This window comes from Homo sapiens, chromosome 3, assembly GCF_000001405.40.
Source record: "Homo sapiens chromosome 3, GRCh38.p14 Primary Assembly".
NCBI lineage: Eukaryota > Metazoa > Chordata > Mammalia > Primates > Hominidae > Homo > Homo sapiens.
Window position 1 is genome coordinate 62462526 of NC_000003.12, and position 12079 is coordinate 62474604.

At 39.5% G+C, this 12079-nt stretch overlaps 1 protein-coding gene across 50 annotated transcripts in view; it reads right to left on the reverse strand.

Moving 5' to 3' along the window:
- The window catches only part of CADPS (calcium dependent secretion activator), a 477069-nt gene that overhangs the window by 64178 nt on the left and 400812 nt on the right, over window positions 1–12079 (reverse strand). For 29 of the 50 annotated variants that reach the window (NM_183393.3, NM_001438352.1, NM_001438351.1 and 26 more), the window contains 3 exons: window positions 11648–11795; window positions 3814–3888; window positions 2842–2925 (listed from right to left, as the gene is read on the reverse strand). In NM_183393.3, the coding sequence (NP_899630.1) occupies window positions 2842–2925; window positions 3814–3888; window positions 11648–11795 (307 nt within the window). Of the gene's footprint in view, window positions 1–2841; window positions 2926–3813; window positions 3889–4772; window positions 4788–11647; window positions 11796–12079 lie in introns of all 50 variants that reach the window. The other 21 variants (XM_011534199.3, XM_017007378.2, XM_017007368.2 and 18 more) reach the window with 1 other exon arrangement.

Sequence of the window (12079 nt, forward strand, 5' to 3'; positions counted from 1 at the left end):
ACTCGTCAGCTTTCTGGGGGGCAGAGCACATGGCTCATCCTTGGCAGCTCTGCTGAGGTGGGGACGTGGTAAGTGCACAGTAATACTTAAGGAATTGAATCAGAAATGGGAGTGGAGTTAAGAAACTCATGCCAGAGCGTCGGCACTATCTCTATGCCTCTGCACAGGGTCCTAGGACGCACAGCTGGTTCTTTCACAGGTTTCAAGCTCTTTGCACAATACCTGCTGCCTCTGCTCATCCTTTTTACTTCCACTCCACTCCTGGGGAATTAACACAATTGGGCCGAAGGAAGCCATCAAAGGCCATTTGGAATTTGGGCAGGAACTCAGAATCCATGTGTGGAGATATTCCTGCCACCTCTAAACACAGTTCACTTTCTCTAATACTGGAATACTGGCAGGAGATGAGAACACGGGCTGCAAATGATAAGTGGGTGCTTTTGGCCTGGGGTGGCCAAGTGTGTGGGAGAAGTGTCACTAAGGAGGGAAGTTACGGGCCCAGCAACAGGCACCGAAGTGTTCTGCATTACACTGCCTTTGCTAGGCATGCTGTGAGGCTGCAAAATGTCTCTGAAAAGGGAGATGAGAGGATGGGAATTTCAGTTTGAACACTTCTGCATAGGATGCTCTGGGTGTCCTGTTTCTAATCTTCCTGTGAGACTCTCTGGTGCCCTGTTCTTGATATCGCTGCCCCTGGACCACCTTCCCATAGTCCTCTTGGTAGGCCAGTAATTAGGGTGGGGCCCTTGGTGGATTGAATTCTGCTCAGTAAAGAGTAGAGGAGCTTTCCTGAGTTTCACAGGTTCAAGTCCAATGCAACAAAAACAGTTGCTCAAAGTGAAGACACAAAGAAAGCAATGTCTTCTACGGGTGTCAGGGAAACATTTTCCAGAAATGTTGCACTGAATTCTGTTTCTTTTCACCATTTCCAGGACTTCACTGAGGAATGAAACATTGTCTAATATTTCCCACTCATGTGCCCTGAATCCTTCTTTATGAATCTTCCCCACTCATTTGCCCATCTGCCTTCCAGTGCCAGGCAATTGCCAGCTGAATCCCACTCTCTCCAGGAAGCCATTCAGTGGTGGGGGAAAGCTGGCAGGACACACTGGTTCCTGTCCCCACTCTGCCCATTGCTGTGTGACCTCAGACAAATCACTCCCCTCTCTGGGCCTTCATTGCTTTGTCAAAGGAGTGGGTTGGATAGGTTTCCTTTCAGCTGTGACACATTATAGGAATGTTCCATAAGTGAAATTGGATGGAATTCCTACTGTCATTATCCCCTTCCCACCTCACCTTTGCCAATAAGCTCCAGGGATAGGGGCCATCGCACCTCTGGGATTGAATTCAATCCTCGTACCTGGGAAGGTCAGAACTGCATATCAGAAGAAACTGTTTTAAATGTTCTGTTTATATTTCCCTTAGTTCCCAGGAAGATTAATGTATGGGTTGGGGAAAGATCAAAGTAGGGCATATTTGGAAAGAAGTTGTGTGCATGTATGTCTGCATTTTACAATAATCATATTAGTTACTTTTTAAAAATAATAGTTGCCATTTATTGAACTCTATTATGAGCTAGGCCTATGCTAAGCTCTTTTGCCTACGTTATTATCTTCATGATAGCTCATTAGGGAACATATTATCTGCCCTGCACTCCCTTACAAATGAGAAAACTGAGGTTCTGAGGGGATGGGACATTTGCTTAAGATCAGACAGCTGTTAACATTGGCAATGGGATTTGAGCCTGGATCTGTTGGATTCCAAGGACAATAATGTGCCATCCACTACCCTGTGCTGGGCCTTGTCTTGGCATTCAGTCACTATCTGGGAGATTCTTCATACAGTGAGGCTGTTTTAAAGACCCACAGGCAGTGGGTCCTAAATTGATTCCCTTTCCTATGGTGTTGTCAGAGGAAAACAGCTAGTCTCAGAGCCAGCAGGAACCTGCTGTCAGAAATGGCAGGGAAGCATGCAGCTGTGGTGTCTGCCTAGCATCAGGAAGAGTGGGAGAACTGGGCCCCCGAAGCAGTCCATTTATAGCAACCATCTTCATTGATCATTTATCCATAGAAAATAAGGCTGGTTTCTGCCCAGACTTAGCTACCTCATTTCTATGGCCTTGCCTAATTCTGGCACAGAATCAGGGCCTCTTGGAATTTGCAAATAATTAGATCATATGTCCCAGAAGTTGTAAACTTAAATGGCTCCTAAGCCCAGGTAGGTATGTGAATGAGTGAAACAGCCAGGAGGGGGTTACAGCAAACTGCAAACACATGTCCAGTCTAAGACCCCCAAGACACAGCTCCAGCAGAGTTGCTGTGCACCTAGAATGCTATGCAGGCACCCCCAGAAATACAGAATTTTCTGTGAATTCTCCTGATTTTTAAATGTAGGCAATTCAGTTAAGAAGAACATACTTGACACAGTGAGGACCATATAAAACATATTTCCAGGACTGAGTGCAGGTCTTCATTTAAAACTCTAAAATTAATTTTTCTTATTTACAGATGAGGAAATGGTGGCCCACATTAAGTCATTTGCCAGAGCTAGCTAAGGTGGGCTTAGGTAGGCAAATCTCTGGATGCATACAAATAGCAATGTGTGTGTGTGTTCATAAAAAATACACACATATTGTACCTTTACAAATGAAATAGAAATGATGTTGGATTACCTGCTGTTATTAAATGTTTGGCTTTTCACATAGTGTTAATATTATACAATAGTTGACTATAATTAACACACACACCCATCCCAAAACAAAATGACACAACATAACTCCTCTCCCAAGCCGAAACCAAAAATTAAAACAAAAGCCAGGAAATAAAGAAGCTCTTTACTTACGGTAAATGACAGAAAAGAAGAAAACAAAGTCCCTTCGTCATATCTGGATAATTTTGCCAGCACTCCTTCCAAGATAGTAACGAACTAGAAAAACAGCAAAAAAGAAAAAAATGTTATTTCAAACTATAATTGTTCACCATAAAGCACATCATTTCCCCACCACATAAAGGCTGGGATCGAGCCCTCCGTTCATTTCTGCAGTCTATTATTTGATTCCCGCCTTCGGAGAAAGGAATAGACTGCCTTTACATAGAAATATTTGACTTATCCGGCTTTCTCTTCATTATTATGTGATTGCAAATATAGAGTGTTACAGAAGTGCAAAGTGACAAAATATTATTGAGTTGCATATAGCATGCGATAATATTAAATGCACTTTTTAAAATCCAAAACTGCGCAAAGCAGTTTCTACGTTACATATTAGCACTACATTTAATCCAATCTATTTTTATTTGTATTTTATCAGTAATTTGGGGGAAACAGAAGTTTAGCACTGGCAAATATAAATGTCTTCCCATTCAGCATTACTTAGTTAAAATTCTATAATTCATGAGGGTGACTGAAATAGCTTTATCTGACTTTTATGTTTTATTATGACTCTCACTGCATGTGAAACTAGAGGAAAAGGGGTTTTCATGATGGCAGAATTCCTTATTACCGTTTAACTTTCTGTATTTAAAAATCTAACTTTGTCAGAGCTGAAAAACAAAACAAACATTTCTCATATAACCTAGCGCAACGTTTGGGGACAAATTCTTATTAAGTTAACATATGCCACTTCATCAATTTATCTTCACACGGCTCGAGATCATCGGAAAATCATTTAGAGCTGAGGCTGGGTGATGTACAATCTTGTTTCCTGAGAGACACAAGTATCCAGCTCAACTTTTTAATGTGTTACATTTTAATGGAAATGGAGACATAACAAAGCAGTGTTCACAATGAAACATTTCACCTGAAGCTGGAGGTTACCTTTGCAACCAAGAGTGTTATCATTTCTTTAACAGTTTCTTCAATTAGTTCGTCTATTTTTGAATGGTATTGATGCTAAGAACACAGAAAGACAAATATTAGCATGTTTGGGAGGTGATGGCACTGCATCCGTCAGTAATTTTTAGACAACTTAATTTATAAATAAAGCCTGGCCTGCGGACCCCGTTTATTTCCTTAGTCCCAGAAATATTTATAAGATCCTGACTCCAGTTCTTTGATAGAGAGAGATCTGAAGCTCTTAAAAATATTACCAAGTTCATTGTTCCTTACTCAAGGCTTTCGATGCTTCTAATGTGTGTAGACACTTAAACACTTTTACAAATAGCACACATGAATGACTTAATGACCCAGCAGTGTGTTGATTTGGATCTTACAAAGCAGGATACTGTAATAATTTAACACAGGAGATTAAAAATTATCTTTGGAAAACTGCTGGGGGTTGTGGCTTAGGTAGTAGATTCCCTTTCCAAAGGGAATTTGATGAAGACACTGTGACTAATTTTGCAAAAACTGTTCTGAAACCCTCAGGTTCTTTGGGTTAATACCTCAGAACTCCTCATTTTGTCTCCAAGTCTTGACTCAGTATAAAGGCAAAGTGTCTCTTTCTGAACTCTTGTGGCAAGCCACTCATTTCCTCCATACATGGATAAACAGACCCAGTATGAGAGCCTACACTGAGACCACTGCTAAGTTTTTAAATTTCTCTAACTGTGCCTGTCAATTACATTTAAATAGTAATGTGAAGACAAACCCCCACACAAATAAAAATCTGCTGTAAATGCCAGGGAAAAAGGAAAAGTGATTTTAACACAAAATATTATATGCCAGCTCCTTGACATTTATTAGATCATTTTAGTATCCATTTGAATTATCCCATATTTCCCTAACAAAAAATAACAATGCAAGACATTGTTATTTGAAAAGGAAAATGCACTTACCCACATTTTAGCAAACTTTCAGAAGGATGATTAATTAGGAACAGAAAAAAAAAGGAACAGTGCAAATACAAATTAGGACAAAAGGACACATGAGAAAATAAAAATTAAATAAAATATTCAAAAGTCTATGTAAACATATGGAAATAAGCCATAGTAATGTGGTTTAATATTCTGATAACTGGCAATCAGAATTATTGAGAGTGAGGAAAGGGATGTGAATTAGGTAAATCCATTTAGAATCATAGGCGAGGTTTGTTTGTAATTGGAAGACCTGGATAAAGTCCCAGTGCAAAGTTGGGAAGTCATGTTACCTATGAAAATTTAACTCAGTTTCCTTATCTGTAAAAAACAAACAAAAGAGATAATAATACTATCATCCTGGACCAATGAGAAGGGAGAAACCAGTATGAAACTCTGATTTTGGAACGGGAACAAAGCCAACCCTGTATAAAGATTTTTAGCGGGTCTATGCTAGTATTATTATTTTAAAAACCAGTGCCCGAGTCCTTTCCTGTAGTCATGCCTTCAGACTCATAAGTCTCTGTTTGGGAGATCAAGTGAGAGTCTAGATGTGAAAATATTTTGTCAACTGTCATCGTGACTCAAATATTGTTAGTTGTTCAAGTTCATCAAGTATTAGATAAGGGTAGAGAGAGACAGTCTTATCACTTAGTCATCTCCTCCAGTTTCATTTTAATTGATTAGAGGAAAAATAATACAGCTAATGGCTTGTATGTTGTAGTCCCGTTGAATCAGAACCCATGTTGGCTATACTGCTAGATTCAAAAAGGAATTTACTCCTAAGTGGCATAAACCTGAAGCTAAATGCAAAAAATTTATCTGCAGAATTCTTTGCTAGAAACACAAAGAAAGATGTCAGAGCAAAAGAATTCAGGAAAATTGACAGGGCTCCAAATTCATTTTTAGGTCTTGAGATAAGATCCAGAATCACATGCTTACTTTTCCTCCTCATATGACTGCCTCACTCGTCTAGGTTTTCTTTGCATTGCTATAAATGATTCACATTTATTAATTATGGGAGTAAACTAAATCAGAAAAGCTAGCTGTGTGCAAAATAATATGAAATATACCAAGCAAAGAAGAACATCATTGAGAAACAAAACACTCTCTTGAAAAACTGGGCTGAAGTGGCAAATAGAGACTAGAGTAATTGTTCTCCACACACCAACAAAGATTTAGGGTCTTACTCTGAGGAGTTAATGATGTCATTCTTTCTCCCAAGAGAAACAAGCTTTCTCTTCAGGAGCTAGAAACTTCAAACCCTTTCATAAGGAGACATGGTTGAGACATCGTGGCTTATGGAAATATGATGATTTATGGGAACCTCTTCCCATTTCAATTTTTCCATGCCAAACTTCGCCTTAATTTTTCTCCAGGCAGTCCCACTATCTCTCCCTTTCACTCCATACAAATATGATCATCTCCATTCCTCTTCTGTTATAATGAACGTTGCTTTTTTTCTGCTTATAAAACAAAGTATTTTGATATGATTATTCTGTCTCTCCCATCCAGGGGAAACTTTATCATGTCAATCTCTGTTGGTCTATTTCCTCATTTTTGCAGTGGGGCTAGAATTATAACTTGTGAATATAGACATCATATTCACTTAACCAAATAATGAAACAATGCATGGAAACGTGGTTTAGAAACTGAGAGGTGCTATGTGGCAGTATTACTACTACTACTATGATTAATAGATTAACATAGTGGTTGCATGTGTATATACATTTCTCTAAACTCACCTAAAATCTCTATATTTTGTTGTATGTAAATTATGCCTCAATTTAAATATAAGCTTCTTTGTGGAAGATAGCAGAGCAGGGTAATAATTACTCTGTTTATCATGTAGCAAAGAGGTAAATATCAAAGCAGCCCCTATTCCTATTCAAGTAATTACAGAATACGTGAATCCCTTTTGCTAGTTTTCCCTGATATATGAGACTTATTGGATTAACTTGCTTTCTGGAGTAATAGTGAGTACTCTGCTTTCACTCCTTGATCTTTCTTGGGAGATATATTGTTCTGTGCAGATGTGAAGCTCCATGAAGGGGTATATATATATCAGTGGGGCAACTTTTAATTAACAAACATTCCTACTAGACAATTTTGTTATAAAATGCCTTGCAGTCTGATCGACTATCCAGATACGGTACAAAGAGGGAGCTTTACCATTTTCCCATTTTCCAGTCCTCTCTGCTGGCCTTTTTTTTTTGAGATGGAGTCTTGCTCTGTCGCCAGGCTGGAGTGCAGCAGCACTCGGCTCACTGCAACGTCCACCTGCCGGGTTCAAGTGATTCTCCTGCCTCAGCCTCCCGAGTAGCTAGGACTACAGGTGTGCGCCACCACGCCCAGCTCATTTTTTTGTATTTTTAGTAGAAACAGGGTTTCACCACGTTGGCCAAGGTGGTCCCGATCTCTTGACCTCGTGATCCGCCCACCTTGGCCTCCCAAAGTGCTGGGATTACAGGTGTGAGCCACCACGTCCGGCCTCTACTGGCCTTCTTGGATTAACTTGCCCTATACTCCAAAATTATATCCTGAGGGAACTACTAATATTCAATGGCCTGGAAAGTTTGGTCAGTTCACTTTTGCTTCTGATGGGCTGAGGTGCAAATTCACAATTACTGTGTGAAAATCATTCCACTTGACTTCCTGTGCTACACGTTTTGCCTTGTCATAGAACAGATTGTGTGTATGTTGTCTTTCTGTTAAGACCATCTGACCTTGGAAATGAGATGAAAACACACTAGACCAAGTGAGAAACTATTTAATACGCAATTTCCCTTCTATTGGTACTTCACAAATTTTAATGAAAAAAATAAATACTTAAGATGGAAAACTATGCTTAACAAATGTTTCAGCAGCTGCCTTTACATGTGATATTACCCAATGATGAAATCCAGGATGCGATCTTAAAAATGGAGATTTCATCACCTGGCCAGTATCTAATCTAAAGCAGGTTGAGGGAGTTGGGACCCAGGTGGAGGCTGGTATTAGTAGCTAGGTCTATAATATGGGCTTCATATCCCATACTCAGAAATACAAACTACATAAAAACATTGGACTTTCATCTATTCTTATCCCAGTTCCAGGATGTTTCCAGATATTCTTGTTAAATCTCATTTTAGCAACTCAGCTTTACTTTGGAGATGAATATTCCCATTCTACAAAGTGAGAAAAATCAAGGAGGAAACATTTCCATATGACTTTCCATTGAAGTTCTGATTAAGGTTACAGCCACTGTGCTAGACCACTTAGAAGAAGTACATATTTACAGACAATTAAGTCAAGCTAGCTTTATTCTCACCTGTTCTCAGCCACTTGGCATTCAAAGAAGCCTCATTTCCCACAGCTGGTCATTTAAGTGTCTCAGATTCAATTATACTAAGGAAAAATGTCACGAAAGATCTCTCTAAGATGGCTTGGGAAAAAAACCAACAGTCTTACAATAAGAATCATAGACTAGGATGCATTATTGGATGGGCCCTTAATAAAGATATTCAGTCTAGATGTGTGTGTGTGTGTGCGCGCTATTTTGGGAGAAACAAGAAATGTTTACAAGCCTCGGTTATTTGTTTTCATTAAAAAAATTATGTTGAGTCACATGGGGAGAGTATGGGTAGTCTTTTCTACTTTATCAAATAGAACAATGTCTAGAAAGAAATAGACACTGCTGTTTCATGTCAAAAATGTTACTGCAAGTCCAAGACAACTTTCTGATTTTATATCCAGAATTAGGGGACTTTATTTAATACCCAATTTTAACAAACCACATACTTCCCAAAGGTTGTGTGTTGCATGCTATGTTCTTCATTCAGCAAATGATGACACATCGTTTGGCAGCTAAGGTATGGAGTCCATACGATGTCATGATTAAACCAAAAGGCAACTTATTCTTCTATAAAACCAGACTCCCAGGTCAAGCTAAGGTCATTCTACCTTGGCCCAGAAGCAATTAGTGGTAAAGAGAAAAGAAGGGTCCGCCATTGTGATAAAAGTCAACTTGGTCTTTCTCATCCTCTGTCTCCAACTGGGGTCTATGGTTTGGTCAAGAAGGTCCCCAGGTCGTCTGAAATTGTAGAGTAATAATATATGAAAGTATTTTTTTCCCCTGAGAAATGGCTCCATACCTTTTTTTATATTCTCAGTGAAGTTTGTGACAGCAACTCCCACGCTCCCACTACTCTCCCTAAACCCCCAGCTCAAAAGCAAAACAGCCCAGATCAAAGTGACTTGGCTTGTTTGGAAGAATTGTTTAACCATCTGACCAGGTATGTGGGAGCTTTTGAAACATGGCCGTCATTGAATCAAGCTGGGGAGGGACTGCAAAAGCTGCTGAGGAGAAGGCAAGACCAGTCCTGTTGTATCAACCCTTCTGCACCCTGGCCTAGCACCATCCTTAGAAAACTCAGTTAAAATGTACATCTCAAGAAGATTTAAGGGGAAATAGGTCAACTGCACTGCATTTAATTTAAAAGAAACCTGTTATGTTTTAAAGGATCCCATCGAGAAGATGAAAAAGAAAACCCACAGAATGGGAGAAAATAGTTGCAAATCGTATATATGATAATGGTCAAGTATCCAGAACATATAAAGAACTCTTACAACTCAATAATAAAAAGACAAATAACCCAATTTTTTAAATGGGCAAAAGATTTTGAATAGGCATTTCTTTAAAGAAAATATACAATGGTCAATAAATACATAAAAAGGAGCGAACAATACATGCTACAGCATGGATAAATCTTGAAAACACTGTGCTGAGTGAAAGAAGCCAGACACAAACGGCCACATATTGTATGATTTTGTTTATATGAAATGTTCAGAATAGTTAAATCCTTAGAGATAGAAAGTATTTTGGTGATTACCTAGGGCTGTGAAGAAGGGAGGGGTGTGAGAATTAATGGGTACTCAGTTTTTCAGGTGATAAAAATGTCCTAAAATTGACCGTGGTGATGACTGCATAACTTTGTGAATACACTAAAACTACAAAATTGTACATGTTAAACTGGTGAATTTTATGGGTATGTGAATTATATCTCAATTTTAAAAACAGTAGCTCCAAGGGGAGAAAAATTAAGGAGGAACAGGATTCTGGAAAATATGAACTCAAAGGGATCTCAATGAACTTTTGAGATCACCAAAAACAGGGCCTTTAAAGTGGGCTTGATGAAGCCTAAGAGATTGTTTAAATATTCCAGAGCAGCTTAGGTGGGTGGTGGGCAGTGAAGAGGTGCAGAGCAGAGGGCCACCTGGCAGCTTGGACTCTAGGCCCCCTCCTCCCCTCTCCATCCAGAGCAGCTGTACTTTTATTTGTGTCACATGCTGGCCTTCTTGATTTGCTTTGAAAAACAGATTGTGCCACTAAAAACACCCTGAATAAAACTAGAATAGTGCTACCATTTTACAGATGAGGAAACTGAGGCCCAAAGAAGCTGAGTGATTTGTCAAACTCCAGCTTTCAGCTCAGCCAGGGGAAGAATCTAGGTTTCTGAACACCGAACCCAGGTCTTCCCCAAGGGGGGCTATCCTTCCTACCTGAGTCCTTCCCCTGAAGTCAGGTTTACATACTGAGTATCCAGATCAGTGGTTCTCATAGTGTGGTCTCTGGAACAGCCAGCAGCATTAGCATCGCCACGGAACTTGTCAGAAATGCCAATTCTTAGACCACACCGCAGACCTATCTGAAATTCTTGGGTGAGACTCAATGATCTGGGTGTTCAGATGCTCTCTGGGTGAGTTTAACGTACACTGAAACATGAGAACCACTGCCCCAGATCATTCATATGAGCACACGATGCTGGGACAGAGAACCAAGGGCACCCTGAATTTGACTCCAGTGCTTAGAACTTAATCCCCAGGAAAAGGTCCTCGACAAGAAAATTAGTCAGGAACAGAGTTAACCAGGGTGGGGGTGGGGGCTGAGGAAGCTGACTTGTAGGGGAAACAAGGTTGAAGATGATCTTGCCAGGAAGAGAATACCACCAACCCACATTTAAAAATGGAAGGTGCTGAAAGAGAAAATAAATAACGAATAAGGAGCAAATATAATTTAGTAAAAATTCTGAACATGTAAGGCTGGTATCGAAAGATCTGATTTAGGAGCAATTTATGCCAATTGGCAACAACATAGAGTTGCCAGAAATGCTTCTGAATTAATTCTAAATTGGTATATGAATATCTAGCTGGCTTAAGGCCATCAGAGAAAAATGATCATGATAGTCTTTAATCAAGCCCAAGTTGCTGTTTCCTTCTCCTTTACATTTTAAATACTGCTTTGGAATTGCAAACTTAGCAAAGGACTAAACTTTTGGTCAGGAAAGATTCATGATCAATTCAGTCTAAGGAAAATTGAAAGTCTGCAATTTTTTTTTTCTTTTTTTTTTTTGGAAATTCAGAACCTGCTGGCTGGGGATTGGGTAGCAGGGTGATCTAACATTATACATCCTGGAAGTTGTTTGATGCAAGAAAGGCCTCTCTTGCTGTCCAGATGTTCAAAGTGATAAAATGCACTTCAAATGTGAAAATGACTTTCATTCTGGCAAACACAGATCTGTTCGAGACACCAGCCTAATAAATAAGGTCGTCAAACTTCATTTAGCTTAGAGAACTATATGGCCACCCCAACTCCAGCCAAGAATCACTTCCAAGTGACTGACATTCTCATCAGCACATGCCTTAGAAATCTACTTGACAAACAGATACTGAACACTCATCCATGGCTTAATCCACAAATGTTAGAGTGTATTTCTGAAACTAGCAGACTAGGGTAGATGGAAGGAATTTGTGAAGTTTTCTTCTACATGATCAATGAAGAGGGAAAAAAAAATCTGTATTTTTTTTTTTTTTTTTACCTCTTGGCCCATTTCCATGCTGCAAAGTTTTGTTGATTGAGCTTTGGCATCAACCATAACATTAAACATGGTGCATATTGACTGTGGGACTCGAAAATCTGTTGATCGACTGGTTTTTTGCAGCTTAACTTCAAATGCAATCCTGGTTCTATTAAAACAAAGTAGGAAAAGACCAATTCAGCGTTCAGATGGCAGCAGGTGGAGGAGATATTTTCTGAGAGGTCAGTGAAAAAGAAAATTGAAGGCTGTAATCAGTTTCAGTCAACAATGACTTCACATGTGTTCCCTTTTAAATGACTTTCCCAACTAAGGAAGGCCTATTCACGGAGACAGACATGCACACCCTTCCTTTCCGGCAGTACCCGGAACACTTGTAGCTTGGCGTATTTCTCTCTATAGTTTACATGCTATGGAGAACCTTAATTGCAGGAG